The sequence below is a fragment of the Homo sapiens genome, chromosome 22, assembly GCF_000001405.40.
Source record: "Homo sapiens chromosome 22, GRCh38.p14 Primary Assembly".
Taxonomy (NCBI): Eukaryota; Metazoa; Chordata; class Mammalia; order Primates; family Hominidae; genus Homo; species Homo sapiens.
This window is the reverse complement of record NC_000022.11, coordinates 43,582,515-43,608,734: the sequence shown is the minus strand read 5'-3', so window position 1 is coordinate 43,608,734 and position 26,220 is coordinate 43,582,515. Positions and strand designations below refer to the sequence as shown.

The 26,220-nt window shown below is 41.9% G+C and overlaps 1 protein-coding gene across 21 annotated transcripts in view; it reads left to right on the top strand.

The window, feature by feature from the left end:
- The window catches only part of EFCAB6 (EF-hand calcium binding domain 6), a 283,528-nt gene that overhangs the window by 203,571 nt on the left and 53,737 nt on the right, over positions 1–26,220 (top strand). For 19 of the 21 annotated variants that reach the window (XR_007067980.1, XM_047441462.1, XM_011530319.4 and 16 more), the window contains 3 exons: positions 135–253; positions 8,472–8,666; positions 18,506–18,661. Coding sequence is in view for 20 of the 21 variants with exons in the window: in XM_047441462.1 (XP_047297418.1) it covers positions 135–253; positions 8,472–8,666; positions 18,506–18,661 (470 nt within the window). In the remaining variant the exon portion in view is untranslated. Of the gene's footprint in view, positions 1–134; positions 254–8,471; positions 8,667–9,112; positions 9,173–18,505; positions 18,662–26,220 lie in introns of those variants that run through there. The other 2 variants (XM_011530328.4, XM_011530330.4) reach the window with 2 other exon arrangements.

Here is a 26,220-nt window from a genome sequence, read left to right as displayed (position 1 = left end):
ATTAAAAGGTGATTAAGGAGGTGGATGGGGATACAGATGCCTTAGAGTTTCCCACATATTGACTAATTGAACATCTTTTCTGCTGTCATACGCACATTTCACATGTTCCTAAATACCGTATTCTGATGTTGTAGAATTTTCTAGAAACCGATAATGAGGGCAATGGCATTCTTCGACGCCGGGACATAAAGAACGCACTGTACGGTTTTGATATTCCCCTCACACCAAGAGAGTTTGAAAAGCTTTGGGCAAGGTAAGTGGCACGTGAGACTGGTTGGTTTCCATTCTTATGGACTAGGGGTGCTTGCTGTGGCAAATTCAGCCTAATCTTTCCTACATCAGGGTAACTGGGGGCTGGGAGTATTTTCTCTTGGTTGCATCTGTCTCATCTCCTGTGTCTTTCCTTGTTCCTTGCTGCTTGGTGCTCATAGCAAGCAGCCTTGGTGGATGGGTTGGTCTTCAGTAACACGGAGAACCAGGGTAAATGCTCATCCATACCAGACTTGAGAGGTTTCTATTTCCAAGGACCTGGGAGCTCAAGCCCAGACCTTTACTGTTTTAACAAAACAAGTCACTCTCCAAGGACTTAACTCTAATATAACTCACTCAGCAGATATGCAATGGGTAAAGGGAAAAGGAGTTTCTCCCCATTACCTATAGATGGAAATTAATGCTGCACAACTGTTTTATAGGTAAGTAATTTGTGGGAAGAAAAACCAAACTTTTAGCAACTTGGAGTAGCTTCCCGAGGGTCTCTTAAACCGAAAATTTTATCCGATGTTGGTTCCATTTGTCAAATGTATTTTCGATTTAGCTGTTTTGGAATTGGGCCCCCAGTTATGGTCTTCCCTGGATAGATGTCTAAGTTTCACATTCCACTAACAATGTGGTCTATTTCCAAGTTCCAGACCCAACTTCAAATTACCTCCTTCTTCATTATATGTCCGTAGTCACCTGTATTCCCCCAGGATGGTATACCAACATCGTACGTCCACTCAGGAGGCAAACTTATGAAACCATGAGTTCATACCATTTCCCAGATTTTCATCTGTTCAAAGTGGAAGGCTGAAATGTTGGCCAAGTTTAGAATTAGGTGGGTTGTTTTGTGTCTAATTTAGAAAAGCAACTGGAAGTTCTTACAAAATGCTTACTTTTTAAAGATCAGTTCCAACACAGGGTCCAGTTAGACTCCCTGCCCATTTCTGTTTGAGTAGCTTACACTAGTAGTTCCAGCTGGGTATAGGCAGATCTTTGTGGAGTAGGCAAATGCATAGCCCTGCCTCTCAGTTGACTTTAGGATAATCCAAAGATGACAACATGGTCCCTGTCTTTGGGGAGCTGTCAGGGCACAGAATGCATTCACACAGGTAGCTATGGTACAGCAACAACTGTGCAAAACCCCTGAGCAGAGAGCAAGTCAAGTGGCATGGGCAGTGAGGCAGGAGCATGGGGCTAGCGGGGGCTGGAAGCTGTCATGGGTCCAGATGGAGAAGGAGACATTCTTGTTCAGCAGGCCACCTGTCTGCAGGGAGGCAGGTGTTCTATCAGAAGTGGCATGGGGCTCCCAGGGTCAGAAAGGAAGGGTAGGGCTGCTCCCTTACCAGGTCCTAGCTTTCTGGTGTTATTGACCAGGCAGTCGGGAACAATGGAATTTGAGTGTGGTTGTGGGGTGAACAGAGCTGCGGTTTAGGAAGGTGAGTCAGTTCAGGGGACAGGATGGCTGGGGGTGCTGGCCCTGGGAGACCACCACCATCACCGGGGGGAGAGGACGAACCCCTGAGTGGGGGCTGGCCATGGGAATGAGAGGTATTGGAGTCATGTCCCCCACAAGGGTTGCCATGTGGGAAATGAGAGTGGACGGAGCCTGTTTCTGAGGGTGGGACAGAACTTGTTTCCATTTCAATTGGAGGTGGACACTCACTGTTGGCTTGTGGCTAAAGTTTCTTTACATGTTTATGAACATAATTATGAAATGTGCAGATTTTCACCCTGTGTTGACAACTGCTTGCAGTCAGAGTTTTGTCCACTATTGTTTAGTTGACCTCATGCCACACATGGTGAGTGGTTAAGAGCAACAGCTCTGCAGCCAGATGCGTGGGCATGACTCCTGCCTGCTTCCTGCTGTGTGGCCTCCATCAAGTTACTTAGCTTCTCTGTGCCATATACTCCTCATCATCTGCAAAGCAGTAGATGATGTTCCCTGTCACCCAGGGCCACTTGAGTCCTGGGTAAGGAGTCATATTAAGTGCTAGCCCAGGGCGTGGCATGCAGTAACCACTCAGTACATTTAACACACCCTTTCTTCATTTGTTCACCCAGCAAATGCTTCTTAAACACTGGGTCTGCGCCTTTGCAGAGGTTTGCAGGGCTGAGGATGACCAAGATAAACGAGTAATCCAGAGCTCATCGCCAAAGACACTCAAATGCTCTTAAGGAGAGAAAGTCTTGGTAATTAAGTGCTGTATCCCTGTCAGGACCTCTGAAGGCTCAGAAATCAAGCGCTAATAAACTGGGCTTTTAAGCTGAGTTATTTCACATACAAGATTAATTTATGAGGAAGTGGAAGAGTGATGGTGAATCTGGTTTGCTAGAGAGAGAATACATTTGGAGGCCATAGAAAAGTCCAGTTCTTGGGCTGGTAATTCCTCTACTTCCTCCCTTCAGTGAATCCCTTTTTCCCTCTGGAATTGCCTTTGGGTTGGCACACACATTCACCTGGTGACCCCTCCCGTGTCCGTGTTTTTCATTTTCCCTTAGGTCAATCGTGCAGTTCCTAGGACACTTTGCAAATTATAGCACCTATCATTTTTATTTCACTTCATTAGATGAGCTACTTCCTGGAAAGTATTGCATGCAATATCTACATTTTCAAAATCAAATCAAGTTTTTATTGATTCAAGATTTTCTTCACTGCTATTGTTTTTGTTCTCCACTTTTTTACTGTGTCAAAATATACATAACGCAGTTTACCATCTTCACCAATTTTAAGCACACAGCTCGGTGGTATTCAATACGTTCATCATGCAGTGCAGCTGTCACCACCGTCCAGCTCCAGAACTCTTTCCATCTTGTGAAACTGAGATTTTTTTTTTTTGACAGAGTCTCACTCTGTCACTGGGCTGGAGTGCAGTGGCACGATTCTCAGCTCACTGCAACCTCCGCCTCCCAGGTTCAAGCGATTCTCCTGTCTCAGCCTCCCAAGTAGCTGGGATTACAGGCACGCACCACCACGCTCAGCTAATTTTTGTATTTTTAGTAGAAATGGGGTTTCACCATGTTGGCCAGGATGGTCTTGATCTCTTGACCTCGTGATCTGCCTGCCTCGGCCTCCCAAAGTGCTGGGATTACAGGCATGAGCCACCAGGCCTGGCCCCTTGTGGAGTTTTACAAAGGTGGTTTCAGTCCCTGAGCAAGGAAGGGGTCAGTTTTGCAAAAGGATCGTTATCATCTTTGCTTTAAAGTTAAATTATGAATTAAATTCTTCCCATAGTTAGCTTGGCCTACACCCAGGAATGAGCAAGGGCAGTTTGTGTGGTTAGAAGCAGGATAGAGTCAGCGACATCCGATTTCTCTCAGTGTCATACTTTCTGCAAAGGTGGTTTCAGTTGGAAGGCCAGGCACAGGGTGTCGCTCAGTGTTGACCCTGGACATGGGAGGCACCTCCTTGGGGAGGGCTTGGCATTCCGAGCACCTGCTGTAGCCTCATTTAACCAGGTAGAATTCAACTCTTTGAATCTAAAACAAACTTTGCTAGAAAACTCTGAAGAGGGAGAGGGTGTGCTCTGAAAACTCACCAAAGGGCCGACCCGAGTAGGAAAAGCAGCAGGCTCGGAAATATCCGTGGAGATCCTTGCGTGTGTGAAACTAGCCAGCCAAGCAGACCTGCCAGAAAGTTTGCAAGATAATTAATGCCCAATTTATGCACATTTCTTGATATGGCAGGTGAGTTATATATCAGTATTCAAATATAAACAGAAGAGACTGTGAAAAAGCAGCTGTGCCATGTACAGCATCTCGTGTGGACAAAAAAAAAACCCATGGTTTTCAGTTCACAAGAAGTGAGGCCATTTCTATTAGCTCAACCAAAGCAGTGCCCAGAGAGAACCTACTCGGTGCCTGGCTGGTGGAACCTCTGGACAGGGAGCCTCAAGATGGGAAAGGGTTTTAAAAGGTTGAGTGAACAAGATCATTAGCTTAGAAATGGGAAGATTCAGTGGGATGCGATGTCAGAGGGTGACTTTTAGAAGCACTGAATACAAAGAAGTTGGACTTGGAGATGTGCTAGCCAGGTAGACTCTAAGCTCAACATGAAGGAAGTGTGGTTCTCATGTCTGGCATGGCTTTACCTAAGGCTAGCCCCCTTTTTACTGGGGAGAGTAATGGGTGGAATTTGGCTCTTGATGGGTACTGGAGCAGATGGTGTCTGATCTTCTGTGATTTCATCAGAACATACTGAATATGCCCTTTGAGCATGTTCAGCTCCAGCAATTGGACACTATATTAGTCTATTCTCGTGCTGCTATAAAGAAATACCTGAGACTGGGTAACGTATAAAGAAAAGAGGTTTAATTGGCTCACGGTTCCACAGGCTGTACAGGAAGTGTGATGCTGGCATCTGCTCAGCTTCTGGGAAGGCCTCAGGAAACTTACAATCATGGTGGAAGGAAAAAAAAAGGGAGCCAGCGCTTCTTGTGGCCAGAGCAGGATGAAGGTGGTGGGGGGTGCCACACACTTTCAAACCTTCAGATCTCATGAGAACTCAATATCACGAGAACAGCACAATGAGGATCATGCTAAACCACTCATGAAGGATCCAGTCACCTCCCACTAGGCCCCATCTCCAACACTGGGGATTACAATTTGACATGAGATTTGGGTGGGGACACAAATCCAAACCATATCAGACACTTTCATTTCTAAAGAGCAGCTATTTGAGTCATTAGACCTCCCTCCAAGATGGTACCTGAGAGAATTCCTTGTGTCCCCAGCTGCATGAGGTGCTGTGTCTGCCTCTGCTGCCTGGCCTAGGCCATCAGCAGGGCTTATACCACACCTCCTCATTCTGCCCTGTAACTCTAGGGACAGTGGCATTTGAAGATACTTCTGAAATGTATGTGGGAATTAAGTGCCTAAACTGAGCGGAAAGGACTAAGACATTCTTAGCAAAGCAAACCAATCAATGTGAACATACTCAAATTATGTGTATAGCTGAATTGCTGTGTGCACAATAAATGGGTAGAGTAATCTGATTGTGTCATAAATTAGTGGCCGTCACCATCCACGAATGTGAGTTTTTACGGGTCCTCTGTTTCTGTGCACACTTTTTCCTGGCACATCTATTGCTGAACCATTTGAAAATTCAACCTTTATAGGCAAGTTGGTGTTTTAAAATGTTACACAAAGGGTTATACAATGAAGGGTGAGGTTATGTAAGCTGAATTAGCTCTCTTATTAATCACATTCACAACAATATTTTAGTTGCAGTTGTGCAATCTAGTCTTCTGTTCCTTTGGATGAGAATAGAATGTTTACGATCTTCATTAATGAAGCAATTAAGAATGCCTTTTCATTCAGTTCAAGTGTCATGATGGAAAGTTTGTTGTTAGTGAGCCCTTGAGCACAGCACACCAGGAGGGCAGTCCTTCCTTAGAAATGCACTCCCTTCACTTTTCTTAGCCCAACAGCCATGAATGGATAACGTAGCTCATGCAAAGTGTGTTGCTGAATGCTGTGAATTTGTAAAAATGATTAAACCATAGTTTCTCCTCAAGAAACCTGCCATCTAGTAGGCAGATAAGACATGGACCTAGGAACTGGATGGAGGCAGCATGTGGGAAAAACTTTGGGTGGCATAGAGCAGTAGCAAATGCCAACATGCACTCCTCATGTATCCGCAAATGCACTAACCCGTCGGGTCCTCACCGCGCCTTGAGGAGCTCAAAGGAAGGCACGGTTGTGGTTCTTTTGACTTAGGAGGAGAGAGAGGTTTCCAAAAGAGGTGCACTGCTCCCTGGGGGCTGCTTGTCAGGTGGGTGGGTGGGCTGTGGACCATTCTGTTAGGAACCCTCCTGTCAGAATGAGGAACCCCTGGGAGCTTTATTCAGAGGGCGTCTTGACCAGAGTTGCATTATTACATTGTCCTGGTGCCACAAGGCTAGTTAGAGTCCTGATGTAGTTCAAGGAGAGAGGCATGGCCCTGGGATCACCCTAGAAGCTCAAGAAATGTCAGCCCTTCCGCCTCCTAGGTATGTCCATGTGAAATTCAACTTCCTCCCTGCAGCCATCTTAGCATTACCAGCAACAGGGAAGCCCTTGCTGGAGGCGCTTGCCCCTGATGGTGCTGCTGAGACCACAGCTCTTCAACAGCCAAAGAGAAGCCTCGGGAACTGCAGAGCCCACAGGCCTCTTTCTGAGGCTGTGTTGTCTTGTTGGGTTTTAAGAACAAAATTCACTGAATAAAGGTGGAAGTGTACTTTTCTGGGTTGCAAAATTAAGGCCATCCTCATAATAGACACCTGAAAAGGTCTGCAGGGGATAAGGAGCTGATGGTCTCAGCAGGAGCTGGGCGGGGCACTGTCCTGAGACCTCATGTCTAGGACTGCCCGGGACGGCTCCCAGCTGAGGGACTGATCCGTGGAGCAGGAAAGGGCCTTGCCAGGTGAAGAGCCGGCAAACTGGTATTTACCTAGAGCCCTCTATCTGCACCCTGCCTGCAAAGTAGCGGAGGACGTCGTCCAAGGGGACTTTTCTTACCTTGTCAGGTGGAGTCCATGTGGAGAATGGGGCGAATGCTGTGTTGAGGCAGCAGGTGGGTGGCAGACACATGGCAGAGGAGTGGGGACCTGCAGGGCACAGAAGGCAAGGGAGCATGGAGAGAGCCCTCAGGGGCACCTGTGGGGACAGGCCCACATGGCCTTTGGGAAGGGTGGTGGTCCTCCAACTCCTGAGAGCCTCTGCAAGTTTTAGCACAAGTGCGTGAAGCAACATTTACCCAAACGTCTATCTGCTTTCTCTCCTACCTGCCACCCCTTCCCCTTGAGGACAAGAACGTGGTCAATAAGAACATTTTCTTTATTGTTCACCCAGCTCAAACAGTCGTACAGGGCTTAGTGTGTCACAGGCAACTGTGGGTTCCGTAGATCCTCCAGGATCTCATCAGTTAACGAGCAGAGCAAAAGGGAGCTGTACCTCTCAAAGGAAAACTGATTGTACTTCTACTCCATCAGACAAATGCCCAAGCAACATCCTGATGGGAGAATTATGCTGGCAACATTGTTTAAATATAGTCTCATTCCTTGTAACTCTGAGTTCATCTGGGGAAAATCACATCTGCGAATGCCATTTTTATCGATTAGATGAGGACCAAGATCTTTCTGTAAAAATAAATGCTTTCTTTCTTTAAAGAAAATTGGCAATTTGCCTTAAAATTTTTATTGAAGTAATTCTATTCTATTTGAATAACGTTGGGAGATAAAAACCCTCCATTATGCCTTTTTTAATGAGTTCTAATTCAGAAAAATCTCAATAATAGAAAATGACATAAAAGGTACATAGCATAATTCTTATCTTGTTTTCCTCACTGGCCTCTCTCATTGGCTGTATGTAATTGGCATCTCTTCAAAGAGGAAATGGGAAATTTTACCATCTTTGAATCAAGTGACATTCACTCATTCGAGTTTTAAGATTGAATATGCTTTTTGAAGAATTTTTTTCTAAACCTTAGCATAATTCCTTTCACAGGTAAGTATTCAATTTTAAAAAACTGCCGAACGGGCGAGGTGTGGCAGCTCACGCCTGTAATCCCAGTACTTTGGGAGGCCGAAGCCGGCGGATCACCTGAGGTCAGGAGTTTGAGACCAGCTTGGCCAACATGTTGAAACCCCGTCTCTACTAAAAATAGAAACATTAGCCGGGCATGGTGGCCGGCGCTGTAATCCCAGCTACTCGGGAGGCTGAGGCAGGAGAATCACTTGAGCCTTGGAGACAGAGGTTGTAGTGAGCCCAGCTCGCACCACTGTACTCCAGCCTGGGCCACAGAGTGAGACTCTGCCTCAAAAACAAAACAAAACAAAAAACAAAAAAAAAACCCTGCTAAACGTATGGAGGGGTTGACTTTAATTTTCTGTAGTCACAACTGTGTTTCTAATAGAATGACAGGTGAGTGGCTTGGGTTGCTCTCTCTCCTGGCAGGCCATGTGTGGCGTGACCATCCTGAATGCTGATGTGCCTGTGAGTCACCTGGGGTCCTTGTTAACATGAGGATGCGGATCGGATCAGGAGTGAGGCCTGAACTCACGCATTTCCAGCTCTGCCAGGCGGGGCTGATTCCGCTGGCCCACAGGGCATGCTCCGAGTGGTGAGGGATGGAAGACGAGCTCCTCATGGATGGTGCAGGCATTTTCCAAACCCTGAGCATCAGCACACCTTACTGGCTACTGAGAAGTGCTTTCTGTTTTTGTTTTTGTTTTAAGATACGACACCGAGGGAAAAGGGCACATTACTTACCAGGAATTTTTACAGAAATTGGGTATTAACTATTCGCCTGCTGTCCATCGGCCCTGTGCAGAGGATTATTTCAACTTCATGGGTCATTTTACAAAGCCACAGCAGCTACAGGAAGAGATGAAGGAGCTGCAGCAGAGCACAGAGAAGGCTGTGGCAGCCAGGTGAGTGAGGAAGGATCACGGGGCCATCATCTAGAAGTCCCCTTTTACATCTGGCCTCACAGCACAAGTTATTTTAAAATGGTACCTTCCCATGCTGGCAAAGTTACAGGGAAATGATCGTGCTTGTTCACAGTTGTCGATTCTAGAAATTGGTGCGAAGTCAAAGAGTAATTGAAAAGCTATAGCCCATTCCATCTTACCCAGTCACAATCTTATATCATTCATCATATTTTATGGGTCACCCTTGAAAATGATCCTTTAAATTTAGTTGTGGATGGCATACCGCCTGGCCACGCCCTTGGCCCAAATAGAATGCAGGCTCAATAGGGATGTCTGTCACTTTACCTGGTGTCTAGCACCGAACAGACACCCACACCCAGTAATATCTGTTGAATGAATAAAGGAAAGAACCAGACATATCCTTTAACTCACACTTCTACTTTCAGGACTTGATCCCGAAGAAATAATTCAGAATAAGCCAACAGCTGAGCAACGGGAAGGTGTGACCTGCAGTGTGTCTTTTTTTTTTTTTTTTTTTTTTTTTTTTTTTTTTTTTTTTGAGATGGAATCTCACTCTGTCTCCCAGGCTGGAGTGCAATGGCGCTGTCTGAGCTCACTGCAACCTCCACCTCCCGGGTTCAAGCGATTCTCCTGATTCAGGCTCCTGAGTAGCTGGGATTACAGGCACACGCCACCACGACCAGCTAATTTTTGTATTTTTAGTAGAGGTGAGGTTTCACCATGTTGGCCAGGCTGGTCTTGAACTCCTGACCTCAAGCGATCCACCTGCCTCAGCCTCCCAAAGTGCAGTGTGTCTATAACAGCACAACGACAACAAAGGGAATACCCTCCAGTCCCAAATTAGTGCACTGGCTTAGCAAAGAGTAGCCTGAAAGAGCATGAAATTGCCCATGCCTGCTGCGGCCACTGTGGAAGGACACGGAAATGTTTGTGTAAAGGGCTAACAGGCCATTACGTTTTGGGCAGTATGTGTACCATGAGTGGAACAATATCAAATGTAGGAGCAGGTGCCTGGGACCAGAAGATGCTGTGCAGAAGGTACCCCACTGGATTTGGATGGTGGGAGCGTACATGATTCCTTTCCATTTTTAAAACTGATATTTAATAGTTGTACATATTTGGAGGGTATGTATGATATTTTGATACTTGTATACAATGTGTAATGATCAAATCAGGGTAATCGGTATATCCATCATCTCAAACATTTATCTTTCTACAAATTCTACAAATCTTCTCTTCTAGCTATATTTTTTAAAAAATGTGTGGGTACATAGTAGGAGCATATATTTATGGTTACATGAGATATTTTGATACAGGCATGCAATGTGTAATAATCACTTCAGGGTAAATGGGAAATCCATCACCTCAAGCATTTATCCTTTGTGCTACAAACAATCCAATTATACTCTTTTAGATATTTTTAAATATACAATTAAATCTAGCTACTTTGAAATATACAATAAAATTATTGTGTACTTCAATATAACATTTTATTGTTATAAAATTGTATGTAACAATAAAATTGTTAAGTATAATTTCCCTACTGTACTATCAAATACTAAAATTTATTCCTTCTATTAAATTGCATTTTTGTACCCCTTATCCAACTTCTCTTATCTTCCCCCTCCCGACCCTTCCCTTCCCAGCCTCTGATAACCTCTGGTAAATTAGCCTCTGGTAATTTACTCTTTATCTGTCTGAGATCAACCTTTTTTTTTTTTTTTTTTTTTTTTTTTCCCGGAGACAGTGTCTCACTTTCATCACCCAGGCTGGAGTGCAGTGGCTCCATCACGGCTCACTGCAGCCTCAACTTTCCAGGCTCAGGTGATCCTCCCACCTCAGCCTCCTGAGTAGCTGGGACTACCGGTACACACCACCACACCTAGCTAATTTTTGTATTTTTAGTAGAGATGGGGCTTCACCATGTTGCCCAGGCTGGTCTCAAACTCCTGAGCTCACCCACCTGCCTCAGCCTCCTAAAGGGCTGGTCTTACAGGCGTGAGCCACTGCGCCCAGCTGAGATCAACTTTTTAAACTCCCACATATGAATGAGAACGTGTGATATTTGTCTTTCTGTGCCTGGCTTATTTCTCTTCATATAATGATGTCTAGTTCTGTCCATCTTGCTGTGAATGACGATTTTCTTCTTTTTTATGGCTAAATAATGTTCCATTGTGTATGTGTGCCACATTTTCTTTATTAATCTGTTGATGGACACTTGGGTTGATTTCATATCTTGGCTATTGTGAGCAGTGCTGCAATAAACATGGAAATGCAGATATACTGATTTCCTTTCTTTTGAATATATACCCAGCAGTATCATAGAATTTCTGGATCATACGGTGGTTGTGTGTTTAGTTTTCTGGGAAATTGCCGTACTGTGTTTCACAGTACTGTACATTACCACCAACAGTGGATGAGTGTTCCACCTTCTCTGCACCTTCACCAGCATTTATATTTTGTCTTTTTGATGATGGCTATTCTAACTGGGATGAGATGATATCTCATTGTGGTTTTAACTTGCGTTTCCCTGATGATCAGTGACCTTGAGCATTTTTCACATACCTCTTGGCCACTTTATATGTCCTCTTTTGAGAAATGTCTATTCAGGTCTTTTGGCCATTTTTGAATCAGGTTATTTCTTTTCATGCTGTTGGGTTGTTAGAGTTCCTCATATATTCTGGTTATTAATCCCTTGTCAGATGGGGAGTTTGTAAATATCTTCTCCCACTCAGTAGGCTGTCTCTTCACTTTGTTCCCTTCATGGTGCAGTAGCTTTTCAGCTTGATGTAATCCCATTTGTTTGTTTTTCCTTTTGTTGCCTGTGCTTTTGAGGTCTTATCCAAAAAATATTTGCCCTGACCAATGTCCTGTAGCATTTCCCCAATGTTTTATTCTAGTAGTTTCATAGTTTATGGTCTTACATTTAAGTTTTTAATCCATTTTGAGTTGATTTTTGTCTGTATTGAAAGATGGGGATCTAGTTTAGTTCCTCTGCAGGTGGCTATTCATTTTTCCCAGCACCATTTATTAAAGAGACTTTTCTTTCCCCAGTGTGTGTTCTCAGTGCCTTTGACAAAAATGAATTTGCTGTAAGTGCATGGATTTACTTCTGGGTTCTCTACTCTGTTCCATTGGTCTTTGTGTCTGCTTTTATGCCAGTACAATGCTATTTTAGTAAATATAACTTTGTAGTGTAATTTGAAATCAGGTAGCGTGATGCCTCTAGCTTTGTTCTTTTTGCTTAGGATTGCTTTAGCTATTTGGGGTCTTTTGTGGTTCCATATGAGTTTTAGGATTGTTTTTTCTATTTCTGTGAAGAATGTCATTTGGTATTTTTGTAGGGATTGCTTGAATTAGTAGATCACTTTGGATAGTATAGACATTTTAACAATATTAATTCTTTCAATCCATGAGCAAGGGATATCATTTCATTTTTGTTTGTGTCCTTTTCAATTTCTTTCATCAGCGTTTCATAGTTTTCTTTGTATAGCTCTTTCATTTCTTTGGTTCAGCTGATTTTTAGGTATTTTATATTCTTTGTAGATATTGTAAATGAGATTGCTTTATTTATTTCTTTTTTGGATTGATCACTGTTAACATATAGAAATGCTACTGATTTTTGTGTATTGATTTCGTATCCTAAAACTTTACTGAATTTGTTTATCAGTGCTAGGAATTTTTTTGGTGGAGTCTTTAGGTTTTTTTTAAATATAAAATCATGTCATCTGCAAACATGGCTCATTTGACTTCTTCCTTTCCAATTTGGATGCGCTTTATTTCTTTCTCTTGCTTAATTGCTCAGGTTATGACTTCCAGTACTGTGTTGAATAGAAGTGGTAAAAGTGGGCATCCTGTCTTATTCCAGATCTTAGTGTAAAGACTTTCAACTTTTCCCTGGTTAGTATCATATTAGCTATGGGTTTGTCATATATGGCCTATATTGTGTTGAGGTATTTTGCTTCTATATTCATTGTGAGGAGAGTTTTTATCAAGAAAGGACGTTGAATTTTATAAAATGCTTTTTCAGCATCTGTTGAAATTATCATGTAATTTTGTCCTTTATTCTGTTGATGTGATGTATCACATTTATTAATTTGTGTATGTTGAACCATCCTTGCATCCCTGGGATGAATTCCACTTGATCATGGTGAATGGTCCTTTTAATGTGTTGTTGAATTTGGTTTGCTAGTATTTTGTTGAGGATTTCTACATGTATGTTCATCAGGAATTTTGGCCTGTAGTTTTCTTTTTGGTAGTGTTCTTGTCTGGTTTGGGTATCAGGATATTACTGGCCTTATAGAATAAGTTTGCAAGTATTCCCTACTCTTCAATTTTTTTGAAAAAGTTTGGGTAGAGTTGGTATTAGTTCTTCTCTAAATGTTTGGTAGATTTTAGCAGTGAAGCCATCAGGTCCTAGGCTTTTCTTTGATGGGAAACTTTTTATTACTGCTTTGATGTTGTTACTCATTGTTGGTGTGTTCAGATTTTCTACTTTTTCATGGTTCAATCTTGGTAGGAATTTACCCACTTCTAGGTTTTCCCATTTGTCAGCATATAGTTTTTCATAGCAGTCTCTAATGATATTTTCTATTTCTGTCATCTCCAAAGTTGTAATACTTCCTTTTTTATCTCTGATTTAATTCATTTGGACTTTCTTTTTTTCATAGTCTAGCTAAAAGTTTGTCAATTTTGTTTATCTTTTCAAAAACCAACTTTTAATTTTGTTGATCTTTTGTATTGTTTTAGTCTCAATTTTATTTATTTATGCTCTGATTTTATTTCTTCCTTTCTACTAATTTAGGTTTGGATTTTTCTTGCTCTTCTAGTTTCTTGAGGTGCATTGTTAGATTGTTTATGCAAAGTCATTCTTTTTTTTTTAATGTAGGCATTTATTGCTATACATGTCCCTCTTAGCACTGCTTTTGCTGCATCCCATAGATTTTTGGTATGTTGTATTTCCATTTTCATCTGCTTCAATACATTTTTAATCTTCTTCTTAATTTCTTCATTGATGAGTGGTCATTCAGGAGCATGTTGTTTAATTTCTACGTATTTGTACAGTTTCCAAAGTTCCTCTTTTTATTGATTTCTAGTTTTATTCCATTTTAGAAAAGATACTTGATATGATGTTGACTTTTTCAAATTGGCTGAGATATGTTTTGTGGCCACATATGATGTATCCTGGAGAATGATCCATGTGCTGATGAAAAGAATCTGTATTCTGCAGCAATTGGATGACAGGTCCTGTAAATGTCTGTTAGGTCCATTAGACCTAGACCATAGTTTAACTTGATGTTTCTTTGTTGATTTCCTGTCTGGATGATCTGCCCATTGCTGAAAGTGGAGTGTTGTCTGCTACTATTACTGTATTGCAATCTAGCTCTCCTTTTAGATATATTAACATTTGCTTTACATATTTGGGTGCTCTGGTGTTAGGTGAACATATGTTTACTATTGTTATATCCTGTTGCTGAGTTGATTCTTTTATATTAATAATGACCTTCAGGTCTTTTTAGTTTTTGACTTAAAGTCTATTTTATCTGATATAAGCATAGCTACTCCTGCTCTTCATTGGTTTCCATTTGCATTGAATATCTTTTTCAATTTCTTTACTTTCAATCTATATGTGTCTTTATAGGTGAAGTGAGTTTCTTATAGGCAGCATATAGTTGGGTCTTGTTTTTTAATCCATCTAGCAACTTTTTGTCTACCTTCAAATTTTAAAACTAGTTACTCATGTCTTTTCTTTTTTTTTTTTTTTTTTTTTTTGAAACAGAGTTTCACTCTTGTTGCCCAGGCTGGAGTGCAATGGTGCAATCTCAGCTCTCTGCAACCTCTGCCTCCCAGGTTCAAGCGATTCTCCTGCCTCAGCCTCCTGAGTAGCTGGGATTACAGGCATGCGCCACCACACCTGGCTAATTTTGTATTTTTAGCAGAGACGGGGTTTCTCCCTTTTGGTCAGGCTGGTCTCAAACTCCCGACCTCAGGTGATCCGCCCACCTCGGCCTCCCAAAGTGCTGAGATTACAGGTGTGAGGCACTGCACCTGGCCACTCATGTCATATTTTTAACATTTATAACAGAGAAAAAAATTGGGCTGCATATGATGTGACTACAGCAATGAGACAGATTTTCTTGGCACGATCTCAATCCTTCGTCTCCCATCCACACTCCTTATACGTGTGGCTCTTACCTACTGCTCTATAGCTCTGTCTTAGCTCCATCTTGCTCTTACCTGTTTGTGAGTCTGTCTCCTGTCTGTCATTTCAAAAGGCAAGATTCACTCTCTGTCCCACCACCTCCTATAGCACCTGAATGAATGAGTGAATCTCCAAAGGAACTGAGAATGCCAAGGACACAGGGATGAAGTGTAATAGCTCAACAGGGTTTCAGAGAAGAGCAGTTCGAACACACCCCTGAATTACGTCTAAGTTACTGAGTTATGAAGCCTGAAAGCAGAGAATTGAGTTTGTGAAATTCGAAGTAAAATATGTGCAAGATTGGTATAAATCAAATATGCCATAAAGCTAATGAAAAAGTGGAATTTATCTTTACTAGACAGGGTTGGCCTCATTACCCACTCGTGTCTTCTCTTCTCGTCTTTCCTGCCACTTGTGAGTAATGAGGCTCTAGGAGAGAAACCGTGCATCCTGGGAACTCCCAGTACACTCTTTCTCTGCCTGTGCCTCTGTTCCACACGGAGCATGGGCATGCAGCTAAAAGAACTGCGAGCTGCAAGACACAATGCATTTCAGATCATCAAGCTCAGTTAACTAGTTCACTCTCACCCACTCCCCCTTGCCACACCCATGCTCTCTTAGTAAAGAAGACAAATGCATGACCAATTTCTGTTTCCTCAAAAATATCGGCTTGTAAAAATTCCCAAACAACCTTGTCCTTCAGGATGGCCTGTTTTTAAATTTTGCTGTCAGTGGGTCTTTCCAATGAAGATTCAATGTTTTCAGGATTTTTTTTTTTTACCTCCTCCTCTATACTGACACTCTGATCAGATTGACAGATTTGAGTCATGTTCCATTAAAGTGACCACAATTTTGTATCTGCCTCTTAAATCTAGGGGAATTCATTTTGTTTGGAATGCCCTAAATACATTTTAAAGATTAAGAAAAATCTTTTTTTCTTCTTGCATTTATTTTCCATGCCTTGCTCTTTTTGCTTGAGTCTGAGTTGAAGATTCAGAATCTCAGAATCAGAATAGCAACAGTAAATGAGCCACATAACACGGGCTCGTTCGAAAACGCAAATTGAGAGGTGTGCAGTTTTTCAGCAGCACCAGAGTGGGGAGGCCGTGTGTGTGAGGGGCTCTGTGGCCGTCCATTGGCCATAACAGTGCCCCCTTCTGGCCTCTGTCTTGTTGCCCAGACCAGGAACTGGACATAGACCCAGCGCAGCTTTGTCACGGAGTGTCGGCTGACACCGTTTCTGTTTGGCACTCTGCTGTGATCTGTGCTCTAAACCCTCATTTACTCTGTGCACATATTTACTCTGCAAGGGAAATAATTACTGCCTAGAAACCAGTCCAAGAAACGCTGAATGCTTCAATTTTCTAAAAATATGTATCTCAAAAAAATGTTTGGATTTTTTTCTACCTTCATTTGCTTTCATTTTGAAGGATTAAGTGGAATATAATAGTTGTGATGACGAGTAATCATTCTGCAACATGGGACTGAATTCAATGTACACCTGTAGGGGAATCCAAAATGCTGCTGTTGGGATACATGCACAGAGCGGTTCCTGCAGCTCATTTGTATTAAGTACTCAAATGTCATGGGAGCCAATTCCAAACTGGAGGCCAGCAAGGCAAAGGAGTTGATCACCTTGGTGGCTTCAAAGTTAATACCGCTCTCCTTCACCACCCTGAATATTCCCACTGAATCTCACCTCTCCCAGAGTCCTGACGTTTCTTTTCCTATGGATTATTTTTTCTAGGCATCCTCTCCCACAAATACGTACCTCAAGTGGTAGACAATTACCACCAAAGATTTCATTTCTAGGATTTATAGCACATTATTTCCCCTGAGGAATAACCCCAAAGCCAAGATCAAGTCTGAGCCCATCAGACAGGCATATTACTCAGTTTGTAAGGAAGACATTTTCAGGGACCTGGGTAAGTTGAAATTATTGAATTTACAGCCAGTCCACCATAGATCAAGTGCAAGATTGTTTCTTCTTAAAGATTTCTACACTTTTTGAGTTCCTTAACCGTAATTTTTTTCGAGTTAGGAGACAAAATTTCCCAGACTGAAAATTCAGTGTCTCTGAATCACAGAGACTTGAGATCACACATCTCTGCAAGAAAATCATCCCTGAAGCTGGGAGCGACAGAAAGATGCTGTCTCTGTCTCCCTCACTGTGAGTGTAAGGTCCAGTCTTGTCCTGATTCTGCCCTGGGCTTGCATGCTGTCCTGTTCCTGTTATAGAAAGTAGGGCTGATGACACCGCCTTGCAGGGCTGAGAGGTCACATGTGAGTGTGTGTACTTGAGATGGCAGCACGGCCCTTGATTTTTCCATTGATTCAACACCACGTGGTGGCTGTTTCTTTTTTCTTTTCTTTTTTTTTTTTTTTTTATAAGACAGAGTCTTGCTCTGTTGCTCAGGCTGGAGTACAGTGGCATGATCTCCGCTCATTGCAACCTCTGCCTCCCGGGTTGAAGCGATTCTCCTGCCTCAGCCTCTCGAGTAGCTGGGATTACAGGTGCCCACCGCCATGCCTGGCTAATTTTTGTGTTTTTTAGGAGAGACGGGGTTTCACCATGTTGGCCAGGCTGGTCTCGAACTCCTGACCTCGTGATCTACCCACCGCAGCCTCCCGAAGTGTTGGGATTGTGGGCGTGAGCCACCCCACCCAGTCAGTGGCTGTTTCTTAACAATAAAAAGCCTGGTAAAAAAAACAAAAAAAAAACAAAAAAAAAAAACAAAAAACAAAAAACAACAACAACAACAAACCCAGGGGGTCTTTGGCACTTCATGGCCCTTGATTTGTCCACTGATGCACACCACATGATGGCTGTTTCTTAAAAATAAAAGTGCCTGGTTAAAAAAAAACAAACAAAACAAAATGGGGTCTCTGGCACTCCCTTGCCCCAGCACCGACAAGGCCCTGTCCCTCTCCACACTCTTCGCTCACTGCCCTTCTTCTCCTCCTTAGGGCCTTGGCACTGGCTGTTCTCCAGTCCCCAGCTGACTCTTTTGCATCCATCTTTGCTCAAGAAAAAGAGCCTATAGCCAAAGTGCATGTAAACCTACAAACCTACAAACCTACTGTCTTTTTTTTTTTTTTTTTTGGCCTTCAAACCTACTGTCCCACCGTGCTGTACCTCTGTCTTCTGTTTATTGTCTGTCTCCCCACTACTGGAATGGAAATCCTTCTAGGGATGCCTCTTTGATTCACCAGACATGTCCCAACACCTACAGGAGCATCTGGCATGTCATAGGTACTCAACTAGTGTTTATTGAGAATGAGTGTGTATTTCACATGTCTATATGTAAAACCACTGGCTTTTTCAATTCTTGGTTCCGTTTTTAAAGTACCGATTCTAGTACAAAGACAAAGTTGTAATTTCTCTAATGTTGTAATTTTGCTAATGATGGTAATAAGAAAATGATAATGATACAGACATAATATTTCTGGGATATCTTTTAATGTCAGTATTACACTGAGGCTGTAAAACATCTTCAAAATTAGTTCTTAGATGAGCCATCAGCTCATTGCATTAGAATAATCATGCAGTGTTTGCTTTAAAGGAGTTATTTGTTTTCCTGATTTTAGGGTATGTCTGCAATGTACTCTCTTTCAGGGATAAGCTTATGGACCGCCATCAAGATATCAGCAAAGCATTCACCAAAACTGATCAATCCAAAACCAACTACATATCCATATGCAAGATGCAGGAAGTGCTGGAAGAATGTGGATGTTCTCTTACCGAAGGGGAGCTGACCCATCTGCTAAACAGGTCTTTTTGGACTCAGTTAAATATGTTTCTCATGGCCCTGAAAAACATACTGGAGAATTGCCTTTGTTTCTTCTGTATGTCCGCCCAAACAGCCTTCTGAGATGAAAATACCCTCCATGTCTTCCTGTTTGCTGGGTTACATTAGAATGGGTTTGAGTCTACCCAAAGCAATAAAAGAAAGCCCCCTGACAAATGCATAACTTTTCCTGATGTGTCTTAGCAGCAGTGCCACCATTTCTTAACATCAGTGGGGTTTTTTTTGTTTACTTGGTTGTTTTGTTTTTTTGAGATGGAGTCTCGCTCTATCACCCAGGCTGGAGTGCAGTGGTGCGATCTCAGCTCACTGCAACCTCTGCCTCCTGGGTTCAAGTGATTCTCGTGCCTCAGGCTCCCAAGTAGCTGGGATTACAGGTGTACACCACCACGCCTGGCCAATTTTTGTATTTTTAGTAGAGACGGGGTTTCACCACGTTGGCCAGGCTGGTCTCAAACTCCTGACCTCAGGTGATCCGCCCACCTCAGTCTCCCAAAGTGCTGGGATTATAGGCGTGAGCCACTGCGCCCAGCCAACATTAATTTTTATTTTATCCAAGTTATTCCAGCACTTTGGCAGGAATCACGTAGTTCTACGAGGCTGGTTACTAAAACCAGCAGTCCTTTTGCCCTGCTGCAGCCCTTATTTCACTACCCAAAGTCAACAACTTCCAATCCTGTTGACTGATGTTTTTTGATAGTGAATGTACCTGTACTTCTTTTTTTTTTTTTTTTTTTTTTTTTTTTTTTTTTTTTTTTTGACATGAAGTCTCCCTCTGTTACCCAGATGGTAACACGGGGTTACACCGTGTCAGCCAGGATGGTCTCGATCTCCTGACCTTGTGATCTGCCCACCTCGGCCTCCCAAAGTACTGGGATTACAGGCATGAGCCACCACACCCGGCCAATGTCCCTACTTCTAAGTGACAGGCATATATTGCTACTTCTTGATTTTTCACTTTTAGGCAGTTTCTATTGACTTACTACCAAGAAAATGTGGGTTTAACTCTTTTCACCCATCCCATGCCACCAACCATCTCAGCCCCCTCAGCCTCCGTTACCTCATGGAAACACAAGAAAACTTACCTCCGCATGCCACATGCCTATCGTATTGCTGCGTCAGTTTTGGTTTGCTCCACATTCTAGATCTACATTTGCTGTGACTAGCTCATCACTTTTCTTTTCTACATAGCACTTTTTCCCTGAAGTCAAATTATCCTATTTCTTCTGTTCATTTAGTTTCCTATGTACTTATTCTCCTACTAATTAAATCCCCAATTTAATCTCTTTCCAATCCATCGAGACACGTCAGCTAATCTGTCAGCTTCATCTTCTTGAAGATTGCCCTTTTCATGTTCTAAATTCTTAGAAAGTTTCTTGACTTATTTTATTAATGAATTCCTCCCCTGTTCTATTTTTTCTGAAACTCCTGTTGTTATTGAATATTGAACTGCCTGGACTGTTCTCTCACATATTTTAAATCTTTTTTTCTTCTTTCTCTTTTTCTACCTTCTGGGAGATTTCCTCAGTTTTAGCTCCCAGTCCTTCTTTGAGATTTTTGTTTCTGCTACCATACTTATATTTCTAATTACTAGAGCTCATTTTAGTTCTCTGTGTGTTCCTTTTTTATAACATCCTACTCTTGTTTCATGGATGCGCTATCTCATTTCTCTGAAGGTATTAACAATAGGCTTTTAAAAAAAGTTTTCTTTACCAGATAAGTCTCTCCTCAGTGTTGCTTTTTAAAACTATTACTCATGTTGGATATTTTCTTCAAAAATATGTCCATACTAAGAGTGGAGGACGGGGCACTGAGGTGCAGATTAGAAGTTCTACACAGATAGGTGGAGCTTGTTGACTTTGGATTGAAATGTATGGTACTCTGGCTTGAAGTTTTCTTGGGGGCCCCCAATGTCAGTATCTTTAAAACTTTTTGTTTGGCCTTTTCAGATTTACCAGAGAATAGACTTGCCAAACAAAATACAAGATTCTCAGTTAAATTAGGACTTAAGATAGACAATAATTTTTAAATATGTCTCATGTAATATTTGAGTTATACTAAAAATTTTGTTGTTTATCTGAAATTCTAATTCAACTATGTATCCCTGTAGATTTGGTATGTTGATTTGTTTATTTGTTTGCTAATTGGGCAACCCAACGAGAGAAGACTCTTTGGTCTCCTGTTGTCAACACTCTAGGAACTGACTGGTCACAGAAGGCTGAATATTTCACCAGTCACTGTGGTAAGCTGAATCATCCCTCCCAAAGATATACAGTTCCTGATTCCTGGAATCTGTGGACATTACCTTATTTGGAAAAAGGATCTTTATAGATACACACAACTAAGCTAAGGACCTGGAGAAGGGAAGATGAGCCTGGATTATCTGGATGGGCCTTCAATGCCATCACAGGTGTCCTTATAAGAGGGAGGCAGAGGGAGATTTGACACAGACAAAGAGAAGGCCATGTGACCAGGGAGGCAAAGAGTAGAGTGATGTGGCCACAAGCCAGGGACTGCCAACTGCTCCCAGAAGCTGAAAGAGGCAAATAACAGATTATCTTCTAGAATCTCCAGGGAAAGTACAGTCCTGCCAACAACAGGGAACTCATTTTAGATTCCGGTGTCCAGAACTGTAAGAGAATCAATGTGTGTTGCTTTAAGCCACCAGGTATGTACTATTTTGGTACAAAGCCATAGGAAACTAACAAGTCAGTGTATACACTTTTTATTAATCCTCCCCTTTTCATTAAGAACCCTCCCTACCTTGGACTAGGACAGATGCCCTCCTGCTCAGAAACAACATCTCCGGAGAATATACCTCCAGGTCTTCCATTAGGGTTGGGAGGGACAGGCACCCAGACACGTGAAGTCTGGCAAGAGGTCTGGGGTCTGCTTGCTTCCCAGTCTTTTAATCAACCCTATTTTAACTCCTCCTTTAGCTCCACTTCTAGATATACCTGATATCATCAGTTCCAGAGCCTCTGAGGGTATTTGCAGGACATATCAGATTTTCTCTCTTCCACATTCCCTCTGTTTTAGGAAGTGATTTCTTGGATTCTGATACATCTATTCCCATTATCCATAGATGCTCCAGCAGCTGTTCTCTTCTTCCACATACTCCTAGTCCTTCGGAGTTTATGCCAGCGGTCCCCAAACTCCAAGCATCAGAACCATTGCAAGGGCTCATTAAAACTCAAGATTGTTGGGTCCCTCCCCCAAAGTTTCTGATTCAGTGGGCTCGGGAGTGTGCATTCATAACGAGGGCTCAGGTGATGCTGACGCTGCTGGACTTTTGCACCCCACCTTGAGAACCACTGTTTTAAACCTTTTTAAAACTCCCTTTTCTGTCATTTTAGAAGAGTTTTGAGTGGTAACAGAACTAGATATGTGTGTTCAAGCCACTTTATTTAACTGGAAGTCTTATTCTCATACACTTTTACCCTGAAACAACTTGAGCTAATTGCCTTCTCTGACTCCTATTTCTGTCTGTATAATTGAGCCATGCTGACAGAATGCATGACTCTTACGTCCCTCACTTTGTAAGGGGAGAATATTAGCACCCCTTTCCTCTTTAAAACATTGTTTATCCCTTGAGCCCAGGAATTCAAGGCTGCAATGAGCTATGATTGCACCACTGTACTCCAGCCTCACAAAAAAAGCGAGACCACGTCACAAAAAAAAAAAAAAAAAAAAAAAAAATCAGTTGTTGCTCAAGAGTTTACAGTATACATTTAGAGCTAGCCTAAGCCCACCTTTAAGTAACATAATACAACTTAATGGGAAGTACAGGAAACTTATAAAAGGGTATTTCCAATTTCTCCCTTCTGTACCTGATGACATGGCTGTCATTCATTTACCCGTGTGCTTTTAATCACCCAACACATGGTTGTTATTATTACTCCATTGATCAACTAAGAGTGAGAAAAAAAAGATGTTATTTTACCGTTATTTATTCCTTCTCCGACACCCTTCTTTTCTTGATGTAGATCTGTATGATTTTCCTTCTCTCTAAAGAATGTCTTTTTACATTTCTTGAAGGGTAGGGCTGCTGGTAATAAAGTCTCTCAGTTTTATTTGTCTGAGAAAGTCTTTATTTCTCCCTTATTTCTGACAGAGAATACTGGATTTAGCATTCTAGGTTTAAACTGTTGAAATATTTCAACACTGCAAATATTTCAGTCCACTCTCCTCTTGGTTGCATGATTTCTGGCAAGAAGCCTGATGTTTATAATTCATTATCTTTGTTCCTCTATAGATAAGGGTGTTTTCCTAAGATTTTCTGGCTTATTTCAAGATTTTCTCTTTGTCTTTAGTTTTCTCCAGTTTGAATATAGTATGTTTAGGTATAGATTTGGGGGGATTTATCCTGCTTGGTGTTCTCTGAACTTCCTGGATGTGTAATTTGCTGTCTGTCATTAATTTTGGGAATGTTTCTACCATTATTAATTAAAATGGGTTTTTGTTTTTGTTTGTTCTCTTGTTTTGTTTCTTTGTTTGTTTGCTTATTTCTCTTTCTCTTTCTGGTATTCCAATGATGCAGGTGTTACACATTTTGAAATTTTCCCAGTCTTTGGATATCTTGTCCTATCCACCCTCTCCCCGTTCTTTTTTTCTTTGCATTTCAGTTTCAGAGGTTTCTACTGATATACTTCAAGCTCACTAATTCTCTCCTCAACCATGTCCGGTCTGCTGATGAGCGCATCAAAGTCATTCTTCATTTCTGTTGCAGTGGCTTTTTTTTTTAATTTCTGGCATTTTCTTTTAATTCTTTCTTAGAGTTTCCATCTCTGATTACATTGCCCACTTGTTCTTGCATGTTGTCTACTTTTTCCATAAGAACACTTTACATATTAACCATAGTTATTTTAAATTCCCTATCTGATAATTTCAAAATATGTGTCATATATGAGTCTGCTTCTGCAGCTTGCTTGGTTTCTTCATACTGTGTCTTTTCTTGACTGTTTATATGCATTGTACTTTTTGTTGTTGTCAAAAGCCAGACAGGAACTGAGGTATATAAGCCTTTAGAGATTTTATGTTCATTTGGCTAGGAGTTAGGATATGTTTAATGTTTGCTGTAGCTATTGGTGCAAAGGCTCCAATTTACTCCAGTGTCCTTGTTTTTTCCTCTCCTGTTTTCTGGGTTTCCCTAGGAGCTCCTTCTTAAATAGAGTATGTGTTTTGCAGTTCTTTCAGTTGTAATCCATTATTATTTCACTACAGCTGGGTTGATGTGGTGGTAAAATATTGGGGAGGGGAAACATTCTATAGTTTTATGATTACATTTCTGTCTTTTAGTGGGCTGAGTCCATGGGCTACAACATTTAGAAATGTTTATTGGGTTTTTTTTCCACTTAGGTAAAACAGGAATGCTAGATGGGGCTGGAGTTGGCTGATTGCCCTTCCCCTAAAGCTAAGATAAGGCTCTCAGAAAGTCTTTTCCCTTGGAAAGTTGTTATAGAGAAGGCTGGGGACATATTGCACCAGGATTGCTCTTCCCCTTCCCCTGCCAGAACCCTGAGGGGATCTTTCTCAGATCTTCACTGTGAGAAGCTAGTGAGACTCCTGAAGTTAAAGCCCATGAAAGTGGTGGTGGGGGTGGGGAGGTACGTAAGACTGGGCCCCCAGAATTTCTTACTCTTACACTAGTCCACACTCAGCCTCTACGAATTTGCCAAGATTACCATGTGAGTATTCCTGCCAGCCTGTGCCTCCAAAGGCTTTTGCTCCAGGAAAGCAGGCCCCAGCTGTGATTCTCTGCATGTGCCTGTCTCTCCAGGTTTCAGGTTGACATTTTGCCCTGTGACCTCACTTCTTCTCCTCCTCCCTCTGCCACTTTCCCCACTCCTTCCATGTCCAGCTTTTGGCAGCTACACTTTGATTTTTCCTTTGGATAGGTAGTTAAATTTAACCTTCTGTCCTGCAGCCACAACCAGTTCCTTCCTGCTTGGTTCATAGGTTGATTCTAAAACTTGAAAACTATTAAATACCATTTTATTATTATAACTATGTAAATATTGTTCAGTATCCAGGTAATGAAGGAAAACTAGCTTGTTTTCCAGTGGTACTATCCCTGAGCCTCTAGCCTTAGTGTCAAATAGATTCTCTTGTAGATTACACCAATTGCTGAAAATCATTTCACATATGTCTCAGTCCCTTTGGGCTGCCATAAAAAAATGTAAACTGTGTGGCTTATAAACAACAGAAATTCATTTCTCACAGTTCTGGAGGCTAGGAAGTTCAGAATTGAGGTACCAGCAGATTTAATATCTGCTGAAAATGTCCTGGATCATAGATGTCTGTCTTTTCACTGTAACCTCATGTGGCAGAAGGGACAAAGGTCTCTCTGGGGCCTCCTTTATGAAGGCACTAATCTCATTCATGAGGGCTCGGTTTTCATGACCTAATCACCTCCCAAAGGCCTCGCTGCTAAAAGGTCATTACCTTGGGAGTTAACATTTTAACATATGAATTTTGAGGGGACACAAATAGGCCATAGCAATGTTTTAAATTTGTTTCATATCTATGATTTTATTGGATAGGTTGTTTCCTGGAGTTTAATTTATTCTTTATTTTCTTTATGATATCTGCCTTTGTTTTACCTTGTCAAATAAAGACAAATCCATACTTAAGTAAAAGAGACTTTATCTGAAACGACTATTGCAACAGGGAGAGGAAGATTATTACAATGGAGAGAATGCCCCAACCATGAAATCTGTAAGCATCTCAAAGAGCAAGCAGAAGAGGGCTTTTCTTTAATGGGGAAGAGTAAACAAGGATACAAAGAACCAAGCATGGGGAGTAAGATGAATAGATGGTATGACCAGACAGCTGGGCAAGAAACATCTTTCCTGTGGTCAGAGTCCCTGAGGAGCAATTAGGGAGGGGCTATTCCACATTCTGATGCTGGCTTTGGCTGAGGTGGGTCCAAGTTCAAGGTTCTGGAGAAAAGAGAGTAGCTTAACTAAACTGTGGTCAGTTAGTAGGTATTTTGTCCAGATTAGTCAGTGGGAACAAACAGTTCAGCTAATAATTTATGAGACAGAGACTGGGAATTTGGAGGGTCTATGTCCTTGCTATCAGAGGTAAACCTTGGGGCATCTATGAATCTTTTCTAAGTCATATGGGGAAAAGGTAGTTGTTTGCAGTAGCCTTATCCAGGGACATTAAGGTTGGGGTGATTTCTTTAACCATCACTTTTTTCTAGAACAGGGCTCAGATAACGTTCAATATTTTTGACCTTCAGGTTTCCCCAGCATTCTATTCCACTTTCTCCTCTCTTGAGTTTTTTTCCCCTGGCATCTGTATCTGATAACCTGGTGCCCTCCCACCCCCTGCCACATTTTCCTGCTCTAGGTCTGCGATCTACCATCCTGTGCTGCCTCCACTATTATCTAGGTTGGATCCCCTGTCTCCTATATCCCACATCTCTTTGTTTCTTGATTTACATTCTTCTTTTGCTGGAGTACTTCCTGAAGTAATCTCATAAGAATGGGTGGACAGGAAGTAAATTTTCTGAGTTCTT